This window comes from Homo sapiens, chromosome 4, assembly GCF_000001405.40.
Source record: "Homo sapiens chromosome 4, GRCh38.p14 Primary Assembly".
NCBI classification, from domain to species: domain Eukaryota; kingdom Metazoa; phylum Chordata; class Mammalia; order Primates; family Hominidae; genus Homo; species Homo sapiens.
In genome coordinates this window covers 3,135,220-3,161,311 of record NC_000004.12, presented here as the reverse complement: position 1 = coordinate 3,161,311, position 26,092 = coordinate 3,135,220, and the positions used below count along the sequence as shown (strand labels likewise).

At 42.7% G+C, this 26,092-nt stretch overlaps 1 protein-coding gene across 2 annotated transcripts in view, besides 1 other annotated feature; it reads right to left on the bottom strand.

Annotated features, from left to right (window-relative positions):
* HTT (huntingtin) overlaps positions 1 to 26,092 on the bottom strand; it is a 169,280-nt gene that overhangs the window by 82,649 nt on the left and 60,539 nt on the right. For both annotated transcript variants that reach the window (NM_002111.8, NM_001388492.1), the window contains 10 exon segments: positions 920 to 1,030; positions 4,113 to 4,240; positions 6,893 to 7,019; positions 13,105 to 13,307; positions 14,364 to 14,515; positions 16,084 to 16,160; positions 18,426 to 18,546; positions 20,656 to 20,802; positions 24,986 to 25,086; positions 25,345 to 25,408. In NM_002111.8, coding sequence (NP_002102.4) covers positions 920 to 1,030; positions 4,113 to 4,240; positions 6,893 to 7,019; positions 13,105 to 13,307; positions 14,364 to 14,515; positions 16,084 to 16,160; positions 18,426 to 18,546; positions 20,656 to 20,802; positions 24,986 to 25,086; positions 25,345 to 25,408 — 1,231 coding nt within the window.
* Positions 25,722 to 25,901: a silencer, noted in NCBI's record as "fragment chr4:3137138-3137317 (GRCh37/hg19 assembly coordinates)". NCBI's record gives its function as "represses an EF-1alpha promoter that drives an FKBP-Casp9 reporter gene in an ReSE screen in K562 erythroleukemia cells {active_cell/tissue: K562}" and the evidence as "EXISTENCE:reporter gene assay evidence [ECO:0000049][PMID:32094911]".

The following is a 26,092-nucleotide window of genomic DNA, read 5'->3' as shown; positions in this document are numbered from 1 at the left end:
GGATTAAGAAAATGTGGCACATATACACCATGGAATACTATACAGCCATAAAAAAGGATGAGTTCATGTCCTTTGCAGGCACATGGATGATGCTGGAAACCATCATTCTCAGCAAACTATCACAAGATCAGAAAACCAAACACCGCATGTTCTCACTCACAAGTGGAAATTGAACAATGAGAACACATGGGCACAGGGAGGAGAACATCACACACCGGGGCCCATGGGGAGTGAGGGGACTGGGGGAGGGATAACATTAGGAGAAATACCTAATGTAGGTGATGGGTTGATGGGTGCAGCAAACCATCATGGCACGTGTATACCTATGTAACAAAACTGCACATTCTGCACATGTAACCCAGAACTTAAAGTATAATAAATAAATAAACAAATATAAATAAAACTGAAATTAGCCACCAAAAAAAAGAAAAAGAAAATCTACGAGACTTTTAACTCAGGCTCTGCCGCTGACTTTCTGTGAGATAAGTCAGAGACTATCTGTGTCAGAGAATATGACTGTCAACCCCAGCTCTGTTACTTCCTCAGGCACAAAAGAGCAAGTCACACCTCCCGCCCCGCCCCCTTACCCGTCTGTTTTGCCCCTTTCCACTTGAAAAGGTCAAGTTAAGAAATAAAGGACTCTACAAACACATTTTGAAACCCACTGATTTTCCAAACTAAACTGGGTCTAAGCTAATACATGATAACAGACAAAAATAGAATACAAATAGAAACTTCCCCCTAAACTTCATGGCTAAGGCAGAGTCAGACTTGGGTCCTGTGACGCAAGCACGTGGGGCAGGGAGGAGTCTCCCGGAGGCACCCTGGAGAACCAGGCTCCATCCTAGATGAACTCAGCCCAGAAGACGCACATCAAGTGTGCCAGCCACAACCCAAGGAGAAAAAACAAGACACAAACCTTCCCAATGTCCTGCAGTGTGGCCAGCTCTAGTATCTGAGAAAGAACATCCAAGGCTGAGCGGAGAAACCCTCCAAACTTTTCCGTGCTGTTCTGAAGATCCAGCGTGACCTTGGGAAGGTGAAGGAGAGAACACACGGTTACTGGCCCTGTCACGATCTCATAATGTACAACCAAAGACACAAACATCGACGGCTGCAGCAGATGCCTCCACTGTGCGGCGCCGTACACTCACCTTGCAGGGTGTGTCTGCGTGTTTGTTGTCAGCACTGGAAAAATATTTTGGAAAGAAATTCCTTTCAGATAGCTATACAAAAACTACTCTTTCAAAGGCTTTCAGGTTACACTGGCGCTACTGGAAGAAATAATTCCTAACTTTCTTTCATAATGAGAAAAAAGGGTTAAATGTCCATCATAATCAGTATCTGGTATGTGGTATATCAAAAAATAGAAAATACTAAGTCCTATTCCTTATACACTAGGATCCCTGGGAGAAATCACTGTCAAATTCACATAGGGTTGGTTCAATTTGGATACAATAAAATATTAAATCAGGTGTAAGATGTGTTAAGATTCTAAAGGATTTCATGTAATTAAATTATACAGCAATTCTATTTTACAGACTCAGAGAATGGGTCAGGACCAAAGACATGCATAACAAGAAAGGTAAGGCGAGACTGACTAGGAAAATAAATATTGGTAAAACACTGCCTCAGAAAAGAAGGTGCTCAGTGAACATAAATCTAAGAACCCTTGTGAAAGAGAAGCTTTCTCTGGGCGAAGTCAGAAGCAGGCAAGAGACAGACACAGAAACTGAAAATGTGAGTGGATCTAAATACCATGACTACGCTAGTCAACCTGGGTGTGCCCTAAGGCCAGCCAAAGGAAAGAAAAATCCAGCAGTGACACCACTGAGGGTCCAAGGAACGAGGTGATGTGGTGATGTCATGTGAGATGAAGAGCCCAGGGAAGAAAGGGTTCTCCTCCAATATGCACAGCAATCTGACCTCTCCTGGACAACAGGTAAGTGGGAGGGAAAAGAAGGCATGGAATTCTGGAAAGAGAAGTTCACCATGGGAAGTTCTAGCTCTCAAAGAAGGGAAAAGAGGTCATGAGATGAGAATTAAGATGAAAAAGCTTCCAGGTCTTCAGAAGAGCTGCAAAAGTTCTGTGGAGACTCGAAACCAAAGCAAGAAACCAGGGAAGACAAAAGGAATCAGAGGAGTGCAGGAAGGGCCACACAAGAAATGGGGAGTGGAGACGCTGAGCAACTCAGCAGAAGGAACCAAGGAAACCAGAGGCAATACTCAAAGATCCAGCAAGACACGCCAGGCACTCCAAACGCACTTCAGCTGAGAAGCTGCGCAGCAGGAGCTGACCGCGGGGATGACAGAGCAAAGGAAACAGGAGTCCAAGATGCCAGGGAGGCCAGAATTACAGCAGAACATGCTGGAGTTCAGGGTATTCAGGAAGGAAAATAATAAACAGATAGCAAGCACTAGGAGCATGGAAAGGTGCCCTGAAATTCAAGATGATATGAGTTGAAAACAGGTGGAAAAGAAGTATCTTCTCTACGGCATTTTTCAACATGCCGTCTTCTGCTTTGGGAGCTGACATGAGAACCATGCAGCTTAAAGAGACCTCAAACCTTGTAAAATATGAAGACTTTCATATCTTCCAAAATTATCAAACATCCTTCAGAAAATAAGCCACATACGTTTGATAAATGATTTTCAGGGGAAAAAAAACCCATAAGAAGTAACTATTAGTAACAAAAACAGAGGAATACCTGAGGATTCATTTATCAAGAAATGTGCAAGAGCTATGTGAAATAATCTTTAAGTTTTTTTTAAAATCCTTTAAATTTCATGTGCTTCTGAGGTAATTTAAAAAGTTCTGAACAAATAGGAAAGCATCCCACATTCTGGACAGGGTGACTTAACATCTGAGGTATAAGTTCTCCCTAAATCAATCTACAAGTAGAAGTTGATTCTATTGTTCACATCCCAAAATCAATAAAGAAGAATATCCAGAAAATTCTAAAGAACAACAGGGGAACTGATCCCCTCATAAATACCATTAAGCTACAATAATTAAGAAGTATACTTGTAGCCGGGTGCAGTTGCTCACACCTGTAATCCCAGCACTTTGGGAGGCCAAGGAGGGAGGATTACTTAAGCCAGGAGCTTGAGACCAGCCCAGGCAACTTAGGGAGACCCTGTCTCTACAAAAAATGTAAAAATTAGCTGGGTGTGGTGGCACATGCCGGTAGTCCCAGGTACTCAGGAGCTGAGGTGGGAGGATCACTTGAGCCCTGAGACTGCAGGGAGGCATGGTTGCACCACTGCACTCCAACCTGGGGACAGAGCAAGACTCTGTCTAAAAAAGAAAAAAAAAAAACAAGGATGCTTCTAATAGATGAGCAGACAGATAGATTGATATAACAAAATAATAAATGAAACTACTGAAACTAGAGAACTATGAGAATGTAAGTAACTCAAGCCAATTAGTGCAGAAAAATTCTTCTGTAAACATTATTGGGGACAACCAAAAACAAAAATTAAATTAGACACATACTTCATATCTAACAAATTGCAGATGAACAGAAAATTTTAAAGTTAAAAAAAAAAATGAACTAAAAAACTAAAACATCCCTAGACAGAAAGGCTGGCTCTTGGGGGTATCTGGTGAACAGTTTCTTACGCTGACATAAACTTTCCCTAGCTGATAACAAGTGGCTCACCATGCCCAGACTATTTGAAACACATGGTTTATGCCGAACACCTGCTTTTCTTCTGTGAGTCTGGAATTGTGGCTCATGTTAGGCAGAGGGTACCTGCAGGACCAGCATGTTGCTGTATTTTTGTGTGAGCCTCACGGGAGGGAAGGAAGCCTGTACACGGATCCCTCCAGACTCCACCAGGGCCACTTCCCCCTATAACCTGGCTGCACATCCTAGCTCTGTCACTGTAATCAATCTTAGCTGTGAGTACAAACAATATGAAAATCCAAAACACCTGTATGATAGAAGCTATCATAAACAAAGCTGAAAGACAAACAAACTTGAAAAAACTAAATGTAACTCATATCTCAAAGGGCTTATACATCCTACAAATCATAAGAAAAACATCAACTATCCATTAGACGTAAGTATGTGTGCATATATATTTTTAAAAGATGCAGAGGCCCATACCTTGTAGTTAGCGTGTGTAGCTTTCAGGACATCATGCAGTTTGAGGTATGAAGGAAGATGATAGAAACTCCCCAGTGATGAGGATTTACTTGTTGTAACAGGACCTGAGGTATCAGATTGTCTAGAAGCTTTAAAAATATGCACACAAAAGATAAACTTTTAGATCAAAATAACTTGCCAAGTTTTAAAGAGATTACTGGAAATCATGATTTTTTAAAGTATTCTAGTATGAAAATATTCAAGTATTTCCTCTGACCTTTTGATTAACTAGAAGTAATGAGAAATTGACTAACAAACATAAGTAGAGCCTAAGTACTTTTTAAATAACAAAATAAGAAGAGCAGTGTGCACAGTTGTTTTGTTATGATTGCTTGTTTGCTTTGTGAGAAATCAGTTAGAGAATCATAGGAGCAGCTGATTCAAGGACCACTGGCCAATTCCAGAACCTCTCTGAGCCTAAGATTCCTTAGTGGCCAACAACTTCATGAGCACACCAAGTAATCAAACAGGGATGATGTAAAAATGTTTTAAAGACGGCAAAGGCACAAACATTATCATTAAACCGATACTAAATATTAAAGTGCCAAGCACTATATACAACTATTCTACTTCAGTTTGAAGACTTTTGACTTGGAGTCCTTAGTTTATTTAATTCATCAGAAAGATGATAGTAATATACTGATAATTTTACACTTGTAAAGGCTGAGGCTTTTCAACAGGTCAATCTTCCTCCTGTACTACAGTCAATCCTTAGAAAAGAGCATCTTTTAAAACGCTTGAGGCCGGGTGCAGTGGCTCACACCTGTAATCCCAGCACTTTGGCAGGCCAAGGCAGGCGGATCACTTGAGGTCAGGAGTTCGAGACCAGCCTGGCCAACATGGTGAAACTCCACTTCTACTAAAAATACAAAAATTAGCCAGGTGCAGTAGCATGTGCCTGTAATCCCAGCTACTCAGGAGGCTGAGGCAGGAGAATTGCTTGAACCTGGGAGGCGGAGGTTGCAGTGAGATGAGATCGTGCCATGGTACTCCAGCCTGGGTGAAGAAGACTCCATCTCAAAAAAAACCTTGAATGTGTTGGTCAAGGATACAAAATTTCATTTATAGACAGGAGGAATGAGTTCAAGAGATCTACTGTATAGCATGGTGACTGCAGTTAATAGCAATGTACCATATGCAAGAAAATCACTGAAAGAGTAGATTTTAAGTGTTCTCACCACAAAACAATGATACGTGAGGTGATGCACAGGTTAATTAGCCATTCCACAATGCATATGTATTTCTTCTTTTTTTTTTTTTTTTGAGACGGAGTCTCGCTCTATCGCCCAGGCTAGAGTGCAGTGGCATGAACTCAGCTCACTGCAACCTCCACCTGCCAGATTCAAGCAATTCTCCTGCCTCAGCCTCCCAAGTAGCTGGGACGACTGGCGCGAGCCACCATGCCCGGCTTTTTTTTTTTTTTTTTTTTTTTGTGGTATTTTTAGTAGAGACAGGATTTCACCATGCTGGCCAGTTTGGTCTTGAACTCCCGACCTCGTGATCCGCCCACCTCAGCCTCCCAAAGTGCTGGGATTACAGGTGTGAGCCACCACGCCTGGCCAATGTACACATATTTCAAACATCATGTTGTATATTACAGATATATACAATTTTGTCAATTAAAAATAAATAAATAGGCCGGGTACAGTGACTCATGCCTGTAATCCCAGCACTTTGAGAGGCTGAGGTGGACGGATCACGAGGTCAGGAGATCAAGACCATCCTGGCCAACAAGGTGAAACCCCGTCTCCACTAATAAAAAATACAAAAAATTAGCCAGGTGTGGTGGTGCACACCTGTAGTCCCAGCTACTCAGGAGGCTGAGGCAGGAGAATTGCTTGAACCCAGGAGGCAGAGCTTGCACTGAGCCGAGATTGCACCACTGCACTCCAGCCTGGGTGACAGAGTGAGACTCTGTCTCAAAAAAATAAATAAATAAAATAAATAAATAAATAAATAGCCTTGATATAAATGCTATATACACAAAACAAATGGGAGAACCATCACTGGCCCCTGGGTGCCAAGAGACAGCGTGAGAATGGGTCTGGAGGGAGACTGTACAGACAGGTGGCCAGGCGTCCCAGATAGCAGAGGCAGCAGCAGTCACTTCATGCTTTGCCAGGCTCCTCTCCTGCCCCTGCCACTGCCCACCGAGAGCAGTATGGATGGGAATTCAATAAACTGCAGTCACACCTAAATCCTAGCCCCTTCTGTTCTGACCTTTTCATGGGTAAAAAAAGGTCCTCCAAACTTGTGAATGGTTTAAGCTCCTCCAACTCAGATGACTTTATCCCCACTTTCTCTCGCCTTTAGCTCTTCCAAATGTAAATATTCCATTTCCAATCAGAATTTTTGACATATCAGAATCAGTTTTTTCACTCACTACATCTATTCCTAAGCATCTACACCACTTCCCTTACTGAAAATCAGGAGGCCTCTCCAGCCATCACCTGCAACCAGGGAAGCATAGGAGAGTGATGCTCCATGCTAGGGCTGGAAGCCTGGAGGCTGTAGGGGCTGCATGTCAGCCAGTGGCACTTAGAAATGCTTCAGACCAAAAGGTGGTCTGTGTACATCAGTCATTAGTTTCTAATATCTTGAACCGCACCTGGAGAAACTTTCTCTCACTTTACTGATGTGTATTATATTTATTTCTCTAAAACACCAAGTTACTTAAATCCTATGTTTCTACATGACAGATGCTGCACTCATGTCCCTCCCTTCCCCACGCTGTTTCCTACCTGCACTGGCCTCACTGCCTTTCTTGGGACTCAACGGTACAGATGCTTGTTCTCCTGGTTCTTTCTCCTTCCCCTTTCGTCGGATGGGACTTAGAGAAGGGGGGTTTGTTAGAGAAGGCAAGGCTGCCTAAAATAGAAAAACAAAAACAAAAAACAAAAAAACAAAAACATGTGATGGAAGTATAACAAAACTGAAAATTAGAATATTTGGTTTTACCATTTATTAAAAAGAGCTAACCCATGTCACTCATTTTGTTCTTGGACCCTGATATGTACAGTTCAGACACTGTACACATTTTATTTACTTTTACCCACACAATGATACATGGTAGGGACTGGCCCACAACTTCCTAACAGGTGCACAGAGAATGAGTTGAAGATGGAAGGAGCCCTCAGGGAGCCCCCAGGCCCATGCCCTCCAACAGCAAACAACCAGGGCATTCTATGTTGGCCATGACGCCATGACATGAAAGGGGTACAAAGCAGCATTTTTTTTTTCTTTTTTGAGACAGGGTCTCACTCGTCACCCAGGATGGGGTGCAATCATATTTCATTGTAGCCTCAACCTCCTGGGCTCAAGCAATCCTCCCACCTCAGCCTCCAGAGTAGATGGGACCACAGGCACACGCCACATCACCCAGCTAATTTTTTAATTTCTTGAGGAGACAGGATCTCACACTATGATGCCCAGGCTGGTCTCGAACTCCAAGCTCCAGTGATCCTCCCATCTCAGCCTCCCAAAGTGCTGGAATTACAGGCATGAGCCACCGTGCCCAACCCAAAGCAGCATTTTAAACTCCTGTTTCTAAAAGAGGAAACAGGCTCAGAGATGAAGTAACTTATTCAAGGTCACAGCTGGTTACCAGCAAAGCTAGAAGTCAACAAATCCAGATGTATTCATAAAGCCTCAACTATCTCCAATACACAACACATGAGAGCATATAGAACATCGAGACTCCCAATGCTCTAGGAGGCAGCCATCATGGAGCAGAGTGAAGGCAAGATGACTGACATGTGGAATTGAGGTCCTAGCTCTGCTACTTACTCACTCCCTGATCTTAGAAAAGTGCTTGTTATGGTTTCAATGTCTATAGTCCCCCAAATTTATACACTGAAACTTAATTACCAGGGTGATGGTATTAGGAGGTGGGGCCTTTGGGAGGTGACTGGGTCATGAGGGCAGACCCCTCATGAATGAGATTAGCATCCATATATAAGAGGCCCCACAGAGCTTCCTCACCCCCTCACCACATGAGGGCAAGGCGAAAGTCCTGGATCTTGGACTTCCCAACCTCCAGAAGTGTGAGAAGTAAATTCTGTTGTTGAAGCCACCCAGGCTATGGTATTTTGTTATGGCAACCCATGCTGACTAAGACAGTCACCTTAAACCATAATAGGATGAATGGCTACAATCGGGTGCATGGACTGGAAGGCATCAGGGAAGAAATGCAGACAGTAAATGAAAGGTTAGCCGGGCATGGTGGCTCACGCCTGTAATCCCAGCACTTTGGGAGGCCGAGGCAGGCGGATCATGAAGTCAGGAGATCGAGACCACCCTGGCTAACATGTTGAAACCCATCTCTACTAAAAAAAAAAAAAAAAAAAATTAGCCAGGCATGGTGACATGGGCCTGTAGTCCCAGCCACTCGGGAGGCTGAGGCAGGAGAATCGCTTGAACCCGGGAGGCAGAAGTTCCGTCACAATTTAAAAAAAAAAGAAAAACAGAGAGGCTGCTACACTGAAAACCCTGCTTGGTAGAAGGCACCAGTCACAAGCTCACTGACTGTATGAGCCCATCCACAGTAATGTCCAGAAGACGTAGAGTCACAGAGACAGAAGGCAGGTTAGTGGCTGCCTGCAGCTGGAGGCATGGAGGTTTTGGGTAAAGAGTACAGAGTTCCTTTATGGGTTCTAAAACTGATTCTGGTGATGGCTGTACAACTCTGTGGGCATACTAAAGAGAATGAATTATATACTTTAAATGGGTGAATTATATGAATTATCTCAAGAATGCTGTTTCCTGGCTGGGAGCGGTAGCTCACGCCTGTAATCCCAGCACTTTGGGAGGCCGAGGCGGGCTAATCACGAGGTCACAAGTTCGAGACCAGCCTGGCCAACATGGTGAAACCCCGTCTCTACTAAAAATACAAAAAGTTAGCTGGGTGTGGTGGCAGGCGCCTGTAATCCCAACTACTCGGGAGGCTGAGGCAGGAGAATCACTTGAACCTGGGAGGCAGAAGTTGCAGTGAGCTGAGATCGCGCCAACCCACTCCAGCCTGGGCGACAGGCTGAGACTCTGTCTCAAAAAAAAAAAAAAATCAAAAAATTAGCTGGGCATGGTGGGTATGCCTGTAGTCCCAACTACTGAGAAGGCTGAGGCAGAAGGATCACTTGAGCCTGGGAGATCGAGGCCGCAGTGAGCTATGATCATGACACTGCACTCCAAGCTGGGCAACAGAATGACACCCTATCTCAAAAAAATTAAATTAAATTTTTTAAAAAATGCTGTTTCCAAAACAAAAGGCTAGTGCAGTAATCCAAATGAGATAGTATATCAGTCTGGACCAGAAGTGGCAGAGAATATAAAGTATGCATATGTACATGTATTATGTGTCCATGTACAGGTGCATGCATATGTGCAGAGGTCCCCAAACTTTTTGGCACCAGGGACCGGTTCTGTGGAAGACAATTTTTCCACAAACCAGGGTTGGCGGGGGATGGTTTCGGGATGAAACTGTTCCACCTCAAATCATCATCAGGCATTAGATTCTCATAAGGAGCATGCAACCTAGATCCCTCAAATGTGCAGTTCACAATAGGGTTCATGCTCTGATATGGTTTGGCTCTGTGTCCCCACCCAAATCTCATGCTGAATTGTAATCTCCAGTGTCGGAGGTGGGGCCTGGTGGGAGGTGATTGGATCATGGGGGTAGTTTCTAATGGTTGAGCACCATCCCCCTGGTGCTCCTTTGTGTAGCAACTCCCCCTACAGGCACTCTCCTTTCTCCCTCCTCTCTCCCTCTCAATCTTTCTTTTTCTCTCTCTCTCTCTGTCTCTCTCTCTCTCTCCTTCTCTCTTTTTCCTGTGGGCCATGTGAAGATGTGCCTACTTCCCCTTCACCTTCTGCCATGACTGCAAGTTTCCTGAGGCCTTCCCAGAAACAGAAGCCTGTACAGCCTGCAGAACTGTGAGCCAATTAAACCTCTTTTCTTTATATGTCTCAGGTATGTCTTTACAGAAGTGTGAGAACGAACTCATACACGCTCCTATGAGAATCTAATGCCACCACTGGCCTGAGAGGAGATAGAGCTCAGATGGTAATGCTTGCTCACTTCTTCCTGTGCAGCCTGGTTTTTTTTTTTTTTGTTTTGTTTTGTTTTTGAGACAGAGTCTCGCTCTGTCGCCCAGGCTGGAGTGCAATGGCACAATCTCGGCTCACTGCAAGCTCCGCCTCCCAGGTTCACGCCGTTCTCCTGCATCAGCCTCCCAGGTAGCTGGGACTATGGGCGCCCGCCACCACACCCGGCTAATTTTTTTTTGTATTTTTAGTAGAGACGGGGTTTCACCGTGTGAGCCGGAATGGTCTCGATCTCCTGACCTTGTGATGCACTGGTCTCGGCCTCCCAAAGTTCTGGAATTACAGGCGTGAGCCACCACGCACGGCCTGCAGTCCGGTTTTTAACAGAGGTTGGGGACCCCTGCATATGTGCATGTATATGTGCATGTACATGTATGTGAATACAAAGGTACACACTTTCTTCTCGCAAAATATTTAGTAGGGGAAACAAAAGACTTGGTGAGTGGAAATGAAGACTTGTGGTGACCTGTTTCTAGCTTGATAAGACACAAAGTGGGGTAAATGGGGCAGGGGCAGATGTGGGGAGGAGGACAGAAAGCTGAGCTCATCACACCGTGTCTGACATATCCACAAATCAGCTATATGTAAGTGTCACGGGGCAGCTGGCTACATTGAACTGCAGCTCCAGAGACAGGTCCTCTGAGGTCCCTCATCTAGACACTGAAGACAGGAGAACAGCCCCGACTCTCAGGCTGCCCTGCCCAATACTGGAGCCACTACCCACATAAGGTTATTTAAATTTAAATTTAATGAAAATTAAACCGAATCGGGGTTCAGTTCTTCAGTCACACTAGCTGCATTTCAAGGGCTCAACAGCTATATGTGTTTAGTGGCTACTGTCTTGCCTGGCATAGCTATGGAGCACTGCCATGGTTATAGAAAATTCTGCCACTCTCTAGAACAGCACTGGCCCAGAGACTACAAAGAGAGAAGACGGCCTAGGACAGAGCCTAGAAAGCATGTGCTGGTGGGCAGGAAGGACTGAACCCAGTGACTGGGGAGTGGCAAGTGGGTAAGGGAACACCCAGGAGGCCCTCTGAAAGCCAACTGAAGAGGACACTCAAGATGGGGGTAGCAGCCTGCAGGATACAAAGAGGGAAAGGCAGGCAGGACCAGAGCAGTGCCCAGAGATGTAAAGACATGATCTGGGCGGGAAACGCTGCTATGGAGTGTGGCAACAGAAACCACCAGCAGGGGTTAAGGAAGGATGGCTGAAGTAGTAGACAGGGTCCAGGCCAAGAGAGCCAAAGAAGCCTTGCAAACAAGGTCCACCTCAGAGCAGTGGGAAGCTCTGTGGGCTGAGGCTGGGACTCTCCAGAGATGTTTGCAGAGAAGGGAGAAGACTGATGGCAGCTAAAGGAGAATGGGAAGTTAGTAGGGAGATTTTTAAAGGTAGAAGACAAGGCAAAGAGAGAGTAATCAGATATAAACAGTAAGTGAACTGGTCTATCTTAGGCTGGGCGTGGTGGCTCATGCCCGTAATCCCAACACTTTGGGAGGCCGAAGCGGATAGATCACTTCAGGTCAGGAGTTTGAGACCAACCTGACCAACATGGTGAAACCCCGTCTCTACTAAAACTACAAAAAAATTAGCTGGGTGTGGTGGTGCATGCCTGTAATCCCAGCTGTAATCTGCCTCGAGAGGCTGAGGCAGAAGAATCGTTTGAACCCAGGAGGCAGAAGTTGCAGTGAGCTGAGATCACACCATTGCACTCCAGCCCAGGCAACAAGAATGAAACTCCATCTCAAAAAAAAAAAAAAAAAAAAGTATGTGAACTGGTCTATCTTAAATCCATTGTACAAATAGTTAACATTTGTTTTGAAGTTGATTTTATTGCTTCACAGAAAAGCAAAACTGTCCCTGAGATTGGCAGAACATTCTACAACCATGGAAATGCTCCATAACTATGCTAGCCAGGACAGTAGCCATTAACCAAGATTTAAGGAGACAGCAATGAGGTACTTGGCCAGGAACATCAATTCTGAGCTTTCTTGGCTAATGCTGGAAACCTAAAACTAAAGCTAGGTATTTCCCTCTTAGGGATAACAGTGACTGATGATACTAAAAGAGCTATAAAACACATGGTCACATTTTTTTCTTCTTTTGGAAAGAGTCTGACTCTGTCACCCAGGCTGGAGTGCAGCGGCACAATCAAGGCTTACTGCAAACTCCGCCTCCCAGGTTCAAGCAACTCTCTTGCCTCAGCCTCCCAAGTAGCTGGGATTACAGGCACGCACCACCATGCCCATCTAATTTTTTTTTTGAGACGGAGTCTCGCTCTGTCACCCAGGCTGGAGTGCAGTGGCACGATCTCGGCTCACTGCAAGCTCCGCCTCCCGGATTCACGCCATTCTCCTGCCTCAGCCTCCCGAGCAGCTGGGACTACAGGCGCCCGCCACCATGCTCAGATAATTTTTTTGTATTTTTAGTAGAGACGGGGTTTCACTGTGTTAGCCAGGATGGTCTTGATCTCTTGACCTCGTGATCCGCCCACCTCGGCCTCCCAAAGTGCTGGGATTACAGGCTTGAGCCACCACGCCCGGCCCAACCCATCTAATTTTTTGTATTTTTAGTAGAGAGGGGGTTTCGTGATGTTGCCCAGGCTGGTCTCGAACTCTTGGCCTCAAGTGATCCACTTGCCTCAGTCTCCCAAAGTGCTGGAATAACAGGCACGAGCCACTGCACCCATCCACATGGTCACATTTTGATGTTAAATTTAGTGTCACAATCTGAGCAATTTTGTTCATTTAAAGCAAAAAGAGAATAAAGAAGGGACAGATTACTAAACAAAGGTAGTCTGGAAACCCATAGTCATTAAGGCTGTATGAATCCAGCACCCAAGTGGGACATTACCTTTATTGCGGGTCCAGGAGCCACGTCATCCAGGACGTGGGCACAAATGTTAATCACCTTCAGCAGGTGAGAGAAGAGCTGCTCCACCATGGGCACCAGGGCCCGGTCCCCCAGGGCTGGCCAGACCTCCTCTTGCTTGGTGGCTGCTGGGTTGGCTTCTTCTTCAGAGGCCCATGAACTTCTCAGAGATTTGGGAGCACTGGCTGTGATATGGGCACAGACATTACCTCTCCACCCCAATAGCATGGGAAGGACAAATTGCTTGGGGAACTGAAGTCATTTAAGACCCTATGTTGAGAGTTGGCCAGACATCTGTGCCTGATATTCAACTGATAAGCCAAACTCAAACTGAAACTGATGTTTCCCGCACAAATCTGTGTTCCCAATTTCCATGACTGTCACCACCACACACCTGCCCAGGATGTGAAGTCATCCCAGGTTTCTTTGTCTTCACAACCGAAGTTCAGTTGGTGAACCAGGCCTGGCAATTCTGCCTCCTTCATTCTCTTACAATCAGTGTCTTCCCTACAGTCCCAAAGCCATTATCTTGCCTTAGCATCAACATTAATCTCCTGAGTCTCCCTACCTTCTCCTCCAGCCCATGTTCAAGTTGGATGAATGATCTTATTAAAATACTCATCTTTTAGTCCCTTTCACGAAACTCTCCTATAGCCCCCTGAAGCAAATAGCACAGGCCCCAATTCTTTCATGGAGATTGGCAACTTCTCCCAAAATCAATTTCAATGGACTCCGTCTTCCTTGCTGGCCACATCCTCCATTATCATCGCCAAGGTGCTACACCCTCTCCGTGTTGTGCTCTTTCCTACCAGCCCATAAATCTGCCCAAGGAGAGTGATTAGGGCCACTCTGTGTGACCACTGCACTTTTGTTTACGTGTATCCCCCTCTAATCTAAAACTAACTTGAGAATGAAGTCCATACATTATACTTTCTTAACATCCCAGTGCCCGAGGGAGTACTGGCATATGGTGCCCATTAAAATGAAATTCAAAATGAGTTTACTTGTAGTTAACTGAGGGGCTATATTGGGAAGAGGCTACTTTAAAATACTCAGCACAGAACAGCTGCCAACTGCATGTGTTTATGCATATAGGTAACATCTGAAATTTGACTAAAGGGACAAGCCATCACTGGCAATGACCTTATAGTATTTTCCCCTCATATGCTCACCACCCCCATTCCCCCTAAGGAAATCAAAATCCAAGTCCTGGAGTCCCTGTTTCAACTCAGTACCAGTACCTGCAAGCAAGTTTCCGGCCAAAATCAAAGCATCTTGATGGGCTGAGAGATCCAATGGGAACCAAGCTGACGAGAGCAGGGTCAGAATCATTGTGGCCATCCCAACGGTACAGCTCTTCCTAGACTCATCTGAGGCACTCAGTGGAGGCACTCTGGAAGCAGACATTTGCAAAGTCAAATTATAGACAATTTTTAAGCAAACAACAGTCTTCCTTTCTCTTGCAATTCCAAGAGGAAGGCATGTCACAATACATTTTATACCAGCTCAGAAATTGTTTTATTTTTAATCAACTAACATCTTTCCTATAAATCAGAGCTCCATAAAAATCATTTGAGAAATGAAATCAGGTAGTAGATCTGAATGAAAGTATTGGGGCCTAAGTGTCCAATGAAGGAATGCTTTTACTAGGGCATATGACAATGGTTCTGCTGAACTGGAGATGAGACAGCTACCCAGACATTTGGGCATGTTAATGCCATTGAGTAAACAGGCACAAAATAAAAGAGAATTGGCTGGGGTGAACTCTTTATTACTATGGAAAAATAGTGTACTTGATACACAATGGGGCAGGTCTGACGTGGTTAGTTTTCCTGATATTATTATGTTGGTTCCCCAATGGTATCCTTTAACACGCCATATCTTGTAGTAAAAGTTATTGAAAGACAAATTGCAACCTCAAATAAGCAGGACTACCCAGGGCTCAATCCCCTAGAAAAGACAGTGTAAGTCAAACTACCAAGCATTGAACTCCAACCACCTGAGGTGCTGACTGAGCATTAAGAGAACATAGAATGGATATGGAGAATAGAACTCATAAATATCAACCCCTTGTGAACAGATGCAGAAACGAGGATTATGGTGTCTACCCATATTTTCTTTTTTATTTTATCATTTAAATCTATATTTTAAATTGTAAAAAGTATTAGAACTGTATGTTTACTTGAACGGATTTTTAACTTTCTTTAAATTAATACATTTTACTCCAATGCCAAAGTTGCCCAGAAGTGAAGTCTAGTGCCAGACCTATGATTAGAAACCGTAGCTGCTCAGTCTGTATGTGAGGAAGGTGGGAAAGCAATCATTCTAGAGCAGATAATGTAATCCACTTCAAGCAAATATCAGTTGGTCATTTGCTGACACACACAAGAAATCTGCAGGTTTACTTCTCAAATGTGATGTGAGTCACCAAAATCATTCTCAGTAATTGATACACAAAATGAAAGCCTATTCCTGAATGCTGGAGAAGACTTGAAATTATTTCCCAGATGCTAGTAGGGCCATCTACTGGAGGAAAATCATTTTTAAATAAAAGCTGTTAATACAAGAACAGTAGTTCCTAAATCATCACCATTTCGTATGCTAGGTCACAATTAAGTGAAAAAAGGTTCCTAAACTTCTAATTCACAGCAAATAATTTTGGAAAGAGTCAAGCTAATGAGAAAAGCCTTTTGCCAGCATATGAAAATTCCCTTAAATGAACTTGAAGACCACACCCTGAAATTCCCATCAATGCCTAAGAACATTTGGCATTCATTTCCCACAGCTCCTGTCACTAGTCTCACACAGCTAATATAGCAGAAACAAGTATTCCATCAGATATTTTTCCAAAAAGCCAAATTGATAAAAGACTTAAAAAGAAAGAAAAAGGGCATCCTAATAACTATGTTTATGTCATACTGTTGTAGACAACTATTAATATATACTGAGGAAAATACATACCCACAGTGCCAACCTAAACTCCAAATGCAAACTGGGAAGGCAGTGGAAAGAAGACACAAAGCTTCACAGCATCCAAACTGAGAAGAAAGAAACAATAAAATCACACCCAAACACCACAAAGGTTTATTGAATTATATCTCCTGTTACCCTTTATAAAAAGTACAAACAATGAGAAGAAAACTGAGATCTGTGTATGATAACCACAGGATATCTGTCCCACCATGGTACAACTTCCTACTTTAGACACCTCAAACACGTGTTATCAGAATGGCAATTATATCCCAATGAAGAGAGGTTCCTGTGCTGCCCACACCCTGGAATGATCTCCCACCCTTCCGCCTCTCAACTGCCCCTGCACATCCTTAGGAGCTGAGCTCCAGCTTACCACATCGTCTCCCTGACCAGCCTGCAGAAACCCTAAGGGCAGGAATCCTGTTTTTCCATCCCAAGCCTACAACAGTGCCCGACACAGTCGGCCACAATAAAAATAAATAAGCAAAGTTTACGATATTTTGAACAAATCAAGGGAAGACCATACTGCAGACAGCCCAAACAATATTTAGTCTTCTATAACATGGAAGTATTTCTTTTGTCAAATAAAATAAAAAGGTCTGGCTGGGCGCAGTAGCTCACGCCTGTAATCCCAGCACTTTGGGAGGCCGAGGTGGGTGGATCACGAGGTCAGGAGTTCGAGACCAGCCTGACCAACCTGGTGAAACCCTACCTCTACTAAAAATACAAAAATTAGCCAGGTGTGGTGCCACACGCCTGTAATTCCAGCCACTCAGGAGGCTGGGGCCAGAGAATCATTTGAACCCAGGAAGCGGAGGCTGCAGTGAGCCAAGATCATGCCACTGTGCTCTAGCCTGGGCAACAGAGTGAGATTCCATCTCAAAAAATAAAAATAAAAAGGTTTAACCTGGTCACCAGCAAATTAACATTACTTTTGTATATTATTTTTTTCTGATAACAAAAGTTATACTTGCTCATTTTAGAAAATTTGAGAATATCTGAAAAATATAAAGAAGAAAAAAATCATCCACAATCCCAAAATTTATCTTGGTGATTATCTGCCAGTGTGAGAAATGTATATATGTAAATATTATTTTTCTTAACTGAAATCCGACTATACCCCCACCAGGTTTGTATTCTGCCTTTTTTCACTCAATATTACAATCCAGATTATACATCTCCATATTGTTAAAAATTCTCCAAAGCATCACACTATATACTAGCATATGTACATAATTTAATTATTCTTGGATTCTTGGATATTATGGTTCTTTTCTAATGTCAGCAACATAAATTCTTATTATAAAAATGTAAGGCCAGGCATGGTGGCTCACACCTGTAATCCCAGCACTTTGGGGGGTCGAGGAGGGCGGATCACCTGAGGTTGGGAGTTTGAGACCAGCCTGACCAACATGGAGAAACCCTGTCTCTACTAAAAATACAAAATTAGCCGGGCATGGTGGTGCATGCCTGTAATCCCAGCTACTCAGGAGGCTGAGGCAGGAGAATTGCTTGAACCCGGGAGGTGGAGGTTGTGGTGAGCTGAGATCATGCCATTGCACTCCAGCCTGGGCAACAAGAGCAAAACTCTGTCTCAAAAAAAAAATAATAAAATTAAAAAAATAAAAATGTAAAAATGTAAATTATAAATATTTTTCCCTTAGTATATATTACCAGGTCACTGAGTTAATTATAATCTAGACATTTTAAACTTCTGATACATTACCAATGCAGGTGACAGTAGTTTACTTTTTTCTTTTCTTTTTTTTTTTTTTTTTTTGAGACAGAGTCTCGCTCTATTGCACAGGCTGGAGTGCAGTGGCTTGACCTCAGCTCACTGCAACCTCTACCTCCCAGGTTCAAGCGATTCTCCTGCCTCAGCCTCCTGAGTAGCTGGGATTACAGGCGCCCGCCACCACGCCCAGCTAATTTTTGTATTTTTAGTAGAGATGGGGTTTCACCACGTTGGCCAGGCTGGTATCCGACTCCTGACCTCAAGTGAGCCCCCAACCTTGGCCTCCCAAAGTGCTGGGATTACAGGCATGAGCCACCATGCCTGGCTTATTTTAATTGTTGTGTCTTCCTAAATTGGCTGAATTTTTTTATTTTGGGCGTGTATTACTTTAATAATCAGAAAAAACATAGTCATTTACATTCCTGGAGTAAGCTGAGATTCTTTTCACAGAAGCACAATTTCTTAGCAAGCCTCATGGATAAGTAAGAGCTGTAAGACAAGCACCTCACCGTAAGATGACCATACAACTAACTGGCCATACAAGCTACCAAAAACTATTACAATGTCAGTAAGACCGATCAAGAAAGAGACTTACTGTGAGTGCTCTGGTGGTTGATGTGATTAGTTCATGAGAAACTGCTGCAATAACTCTTGAAAGGTTATTTTCCATAGTGACGTCTGTTATGCTTGGTAGTAGGTTATAGCCTCTATATATTCTAATAACAAAAATATAGAGACTTAAAATACACTATTAAAACATATATTTTTAAAGATCAAATGGCATTTAAAAGTTTAAGATTAAAGATTAAAAAAAGTTAAGCAGTCTCAACTTTTAAGTGAAACGGGCTGAAAATAAATTTTGATCATTATTCCATAACAATGGCTGAATTTATTCCCTCCCTTCCTCCCAGTCTGCCCCGAACACTTTTGCTGCAGCCATACTCCCCTTACAGCGTTGCCTACTATCTGTTTAAGTTGAAATACATGCTTCATGAAGTTATTCCTGCTTCCAAGAAAAAAGAAATTCCTTTCTCCACTTCTCATCTCCCACGGCACTTTTTTGCATTCCCTTCATGGCACATGTCAATTTCTATCCCCCATTATAGTTATATACAAACTCTAATTCCTTTAGAACACATGGAAAAAAGGCAAAAAATAAAATAAATTATAAATGAATTATAATACCCCAGTGGTTTGAATAAAGCCAATCTGATTTTGTATCCCTCACAGTGTCTTGTCCACGGAGACACTCAACAAAACTAAGGAGATTATGATTTTAAGTTAACACATGAATGCTAACAGAATAGGCAGCTAAGCAGCACACTCTGCTGCACAATTGGTCATTGTATCTATCACGCAAGACCCAATTGACCACAGCTGAATTGTCAAGAGGCCTGCTGAAGTTTGGAACTGGGAGACTTTTCCAAGTAGTAGTTAGTAATCAATTTTAATGATATCTCAGTTGGCATCTATTAATAAATATTCATCTTCTGAAATGACATTAAGAAGCAACAATTTATTCTAAGCTTATCAAATTCCTGATAATCAAATCCTCTTTCACTGCTTCTACTTATCTTAAAGGAGTATTTGTCCTGAATCTTCTCCAAGAGAGAAAATGCCAGTTCTGAGTTTAAACAAAGGAAATTATCTGAGGGGAAATATTAAGGTGGCCAAAAAAATGTCTCCATGTTTTTTTTGTTTGTGTGTGTGTCTTTTTTTGAGACAGAGTCTCACTCTGTAGCCCAAGCTGGGAGTGCAATGGCACAATCTTGGCTCACTGCAACCTCTGCCTCCGGGGCTCAAGTGATTCTCATCCCTCAGCCTCCCGAGTAGCTGGGATTACAGGGGCCCGCCACCACGCCTGGCTAATTTTTTGTATTTGAGTAGAGGTGGGTTTTGCCATGTTGCCCTGGGTGGTCTTGAACCCCTGAGCTCAAGCGACCTGCCCACCTGGGCCTCCCAAAGTGTTAGGATTACAGGCGTGAGCCACCGCACCCAGCCTTCCATGTGTTTTTTAAAGCAGTCTTTACATGAAAAAAGACGTTATTTATTCAGGAATTATGACTTTGATATTTGATAAGCTGAGTTCCTAATTCAGAAAAAAAGCATCAAGTGATCATTTAAGCTTAGAAGTCATTTAGTCCAAGTTTTGTAAAACACTGTTACTCAGCAGAAAAAAAGAGTATCATATAAAGCCAATTTTTAAAATAACATTTAAAAGACAAAATTAAAAAGCACAAGTCTTATCACTTCTGCAATCTTCTCTGCAAGCTAGAATTCTGAAGATTATAGCTTCATTAAAGCACTGTGTCCCACTCACCTAAGAAGCAGATAAGAATGGGATATATGTGGCCATTTGACACGATATTCAAAAGCTCCACAATAAATGTGAATGATAATCTCGCAAATCACTGAACTAGTGGATAACCCTAAATAACACTGACTTTAATAGCCCGCTCACCAAAAAATCAACAGGCATGATAGAATACAATCCTCTTTAAAGGTAACACAACTAAAGTGAAAATGTTTTAACAGATAATACGTAAGTGTCACAAACAAAAATACAACTGTCAGCACATGGAATGTAATAAACTATTAAGAGATTTACAGTGTCACAGCTGAGTGATTGTGGCAGAGCTTAAATACAGAGGTGGTGTGGTCAATCCTCAAAATGATAATATCCTATCAAAGGACTGACCTACACTCAAACATCCTGAGCTGAAGCTTTTTTCTAGAAAATAAAATGTTTTCAATTAAAGCCTAAAGAAAGGCATCAGGAAAGGGCATTTTCCCGACAATGTGAAGATGCCACTGGGTCAGCATACCTGGTTATTGTGCTGACGGAGAAATGAGATGGAGGCTGCGTCTCATGCATGAGAAGTTTCAGGTAAACACTGCTTTGATCTCTTGCCACGGCCACTACTGGATCAGCTTGTCCTTGGTCACATTTATAAAACAGCTTTGGGACAAGCCTAACACAAAAGTAAGGTTAATTTGCTTAAGAAAGTAGATGAAACTCACCTGTGATAGACCACCCTCCTCCCTGCAGATGGCTAAGCCAACACCTCTGGTTACCAGCGGACACCACTTCTCGCCCCCTTTCTCAGGTGGCGTTCTTCAAGCACGTGACAGCGTTGTCTCCAATCTCAGGGTCACTCTCATGCACCCACTCGGACATAACTGGGTGCTGTACTTTCTTTTTTTCTTTTTTTTTTTTTTTTGAGACAGAATGTCACTCTGTGGCCCAGGCCGGAGTACAATGGTGCAATCTTGGCTCACTGCAACCTCTGCCGTCCAGGTTCAAGTGATTCTCCTGCCTCAGCCTCCTGAGTAGCTGGGATTACAGGCGCCTGCCACCGCGCCCGGCTAATTTTTGTAGTTTTAGTAGAGACAGGGTTTCATCACCTTGGCCAGGCTGTTCTTGAACTCTTGAACTCCTGACCTCGTGATCCACCCACCTCAGCCCCCCATAGTGCTGGATTACAGGCGTGAGCCCCCACGCCCAGCTGGGTGCTGTACTTTCTTTTGTCTGTCATAAAATTTAATCCCTTTCTATTTACACTATTAAATGCTTTAATTAAAAACCAACTTTGAAAGTTCTCTTTCTAAACCTTCTGATCAACAAGTGCTGAACAGTGTCTGTCCACAGAGTACTGAGCACAGAGCAGGTCTGAATGCCAGCTGCATTCCTTAGGCACTTTTGCAATTTTGTCTGCAAAACTGTCCCAAACACTCCCAGATGGCAAAGCTTAAGCTGCGATTCCTAACAAATCTAAACTGAATTCAAATGGAGAATACGGGTAACATTTTCCTACAAAAACAAAAGGGTTCATATCTGCCATCAACACTCAGTAATACTTTTAGAAACAATGAACTATTTTATCATATTGGTCTGCAAGCCCCATGATCTTCAATTAAAGTCTCTTTCCTCATGGAGACTTGATCATGAGTAGAATTTTTTCTAGAATATAAGAAGTAACTACTGGCTGGGTACGGTGGCTCACGCCTGTAATCCCAGCACTTTGGGAGGCCGAGACAGGGGGACCGCTTGAGGCCAGGAGTTCAAGATCAGCCCGGCCAACATGGCAAAACCCCATCTCTACTAAAGATACAAAAATTAGCCGGGCATGGTGGCACACTCCTGTAATCCCAGCTACTTGGGAGGCTGAGGCAGGAAAATCGCTTGAACCCAGGAGGCAATAGTTGCAATGAGCCAAGATTCCACCACTGCATTCCTGCCTGAGTGACAGAGCGAGACTCTGTCTCCACAAACAAACAAACAAAAAGAAGTTGCTATCATTTGCAGAAAATGGTAAAGCTGCAAAATCTCTGAATAGGCAAGTCATATAAACCTATTAAGTAAATGAAAGGAGTGTCTCACAAGTAATCAAAGAAATGCAAATTACAATGATGAAAATGAAAAAGAATATGCACCAAAATGTAACTTTGGTTTTCTTTTCAGTAGTTTGATTACAAAGATTATTTCGTTTTTTTATATTTTCCTTAAATTCTGTTCATTAAACATGTATTACTTTCAAAAGAAGGTAAGTTATTTTAAAAAGAAATATCAGCCGGGTGTGGTAGCTCACGCCTGTAATCCCAGCACTTTGGAAGGCCAAGGCAGGTGGATCACTTGAGGTCAGGAGCTTGAGACCAGTCTGGCCAACATGGTGAAACCCCATCTCTACCAAAAAATACAAAAATTAGCTGGCAGTGGTGGCCCTCGCCTGTAATTCCAGCTTCCTGGGAGGCTGACGTGGGAATCACTTGAACCTGGGAGGCAGAGACTGCAGTGAGCCGAGATCGCACCACCACACTCCAGCCTGGGCATCATAGAATGAGACCCTATCTCAAAAAAAATAAATAAATAAAGAGAAGTATCAACTTCTGCCCAAAAAACTGATACATATTTAACTTTTTTTGAAATATTTGTACTGGTGAGAAGAATCAGGCACAATCACATTCTGGTAGTGGGAGTATACTTTGGCATGTTTCTGCTATATGTTCTCAGAAGTGGGAGCTGAGCTGTGGGTACGCAAGGGCATACAGTGTGGTATAATGGACATTGGAGACTCACAAGGCGGAAGGCTGGAAGGTGAGGGACAAAAAACTACATATTGGGTACAAGGTACACTACTCGGGTGACAGGTGTACTAAAATCTCAGACTTCACCATGTAACCAAAATTCAGCCATGTAACCAAAAACCACTTGTACCCCAAAAACCATTGAAATTTAAAAAAATGTGTATATGTAGAAAGAAACGAAGGAAGGAAGGAAGGAAGGCAGGCAGGCAGGCAGGCGGGAAGGGGAAGGGAAAAGGGGAAGGGAAAGGGAAAGGGAGAGGGAAGTAGGGAAGGGAGGGAGGAAGGGAGGAAGGAAAGAAGGAAGGAAGGAAGGAAGGAAGGAAGGAAGGAACAATGGTATGTTTTTGAAGAGCAGTTTCACAGTAAGTACCAAAATTATTTAAAAATCCACTTCTAGGTGATCTACTCAAGAGAAATGAAGACATGTCTACACAAAATCTTGCAGGCAAATGTTCACAGTACCATAATTCATAAATTAGCCAAAACATGAACTCTATAATATCCATCTGATGGATAGATAAAATATGGTATTATTCATATAATAGAATACTTTCGCCAATAAAAATGAACAAACTACTGATACATGCTACAACAAGAACCAATCTCACAATTAAGTAAAAGAAGCCAAATGCAAAAGTCCATCTATACTATGACCCCAGTACTATAAAATGTCCAGAAAATACAAATCTTTGTTTGTTTTGAGACAGTCTCTCTCTGTTGCCCAGGTTGGAAGGCAGTGGCGCGATCTCTGCTCACTGCAACCTCCGCCTCCCAGGTTCAAGTGATTCTCCTGCCTCAGCCTCCCGAGTAGCTGGGATTACAGGCGTGTGCCACCACATCCGACTAATTTTTGTATTTTTAGTAGAGACAAGGTTTCACCATGTTGGCCAGGCTGGTCTCGAACTCCTGACCTCAAGTGATCCACCAACCTCGGCCTCCCAAAGTGCTGGGATTACAGGCATGAGCGCCTGGCGAAAACACAAATCTTAAGGGACAGAAAATAGATGAGTGGCTGCCTAGGAGTTGGGGCAGGAACCGGAGGTTACAGCAAATGGGCACAAGGATACATTTGGGGTGACAGAAATGTGATAAAATTGGAGTTTACTATACACTCAAAGTGAGTACATTTCAAGAAATGTAAATTATAACCTCCATAAAGCTATTAGAAGATTTGTTTTAAATTTAAAGCCTGGCCAGGCGCCATGGCTCACGCCTGTAATCCCAGCACTTTGGGAGGCCAATGCAGGTGGATCACGGGGTCAGAAGTTCGAGACCAGCCTGGCCAATATCGTGAAACCCTGTCTCTACTAAAAATACAAAAATTAATTGGGCGTGGTGGTGTGCCCCTGTAATCCCAGCTACTCGGGAGGCTGAGGCAGGAGAATCGCTTGAACCAGGGAGACAGAGGTTGCAGTGAGCCGAGATAGCACCTGGACAATAGAGCAGGACTCTGTCTCAAAAAAAAAATAAAAAAAAAAATTCAAAGCCGGGCCTGGTAACTCAACTTCCAGGAATTCTCAGAAAAAGAAAACTATACACAAACATTTATGTATAATAAGTAATTGCCAAAAAAAGTATATAAAATTTTATCCCAACCGCATAGCAAAACAACGACCCATAACTAAAATTACTGTTTCATAACAGGAAAATGCTAATAAAATATTAAGTGGAAATTGTCAGATTACAAAATTGCATGTAATTTTGACCTGATTTTGAACAAGAAACTCATAGAGTATATAGCAAAATATTAACAGTGATTACCTCCAGGTGGCAGCAGAATTGAAGGTGATTTTTTTTTTCTTCTTAGTACTATTCTCTATAGTCCAAAATTTTTACAATGAAAGTGCATTACTTTTTACAATGGACAGTTAGTATTTTGTTGTTTTTTTAATTATAATTTTAGACTTTTTTGGATTTTTTTTTCATTATAGTTTAAGAATAGAATGGCTGAAATGAGCTCAGATTCAGGAATACTGCTCTACATCCTTTGAATTCTTCCCTCTCTTTCCATTCTCGTATCTTTTAGTACTTCAACCAAAAAAGGAAAAGAGATAAAATATTGGTAAATACCTAATTAGTGATGCTGCGGCAACATGTCGCACCCTGGGGTCTTCATCTCCAAGCAAATGGATGACAACATTATTGAGCACTCGTTCTTGCAGTTTTAAAAGCTTTAGAGAGAAGGATAATAAAAATAAACATAATCTTGTATTTGACTAAATTTTAGGTAAGATATTTTGGAAAGCTAGTGAGAAAGAACTCAACATTACTAGACTTAAATCCATATGACAAGATTATAACTTTCATGATATAAACTGTGAAATAAACATCTAAAACATGACGAATGCATTTAGAGAAATTCCACAAGGAAAGCCTCACTTTCACCTTCTTGAAGGTAAAACAGCATCTCACAAAAATAAACCGCTTACCCCTGTATAATGATGAGCCCCTCTGTGTAAGTTTTCTGCTTTTGCCTCCAAAAAGCTCACCAGCCTAACAAAAGAGCACATTTAACAATGAAATCATTTAGTTACTCAGTAAACACTTACCGCCAGCTTGCTCCAGAGCAGGCTCATCCAGGTGCCCTGGAAGGACCTTGGGCAGCACTTACTCAAAACAACAAAAAAGGCCAATGGCTTTAAATAAATAGAGGTGGCATTCCTCTCACAATTCCAGACTCAATAAGACAGTACTCAGTAAACTGTTTTTCTTTTTCTTCAAAATAAATACTATTTCAAAAGACTCTGTAAGTGCCCTATAAAATTGGCTCAAGCCACAGAAGGGGTGAGCTGGGCCCTCCATAACCTGCTATCTTGCTGCCCACTCATGCACGCTCAGCGTCCCTATCTGTGGGTGGAGCCGAGAACAAGCCCAGATTTATAAACATTCTAAGGATTAAATGAAATAACCCACAAGGGCTCTATAAAAGGTGGCTTGGAAAAAAAAAAAACAAACCCTAAATTATAAAGGAAAATTTCCCTTCTAAAAGAAAGTACTGAAAGAAAACTTCTCCAGCCAAAACTACTCTTAGAAAATGAAAGTGCCAACACAGCTCATGTTATTTTTTTTTTTTTGAGGCCAAGTCTCACTCTGTTGCCAGGCTGAAGTGCAATGGCCACAATCTTGGCTCACTGCAACCACAGCTCACGTTTTTTAATTGCAACAAAATATAAACCA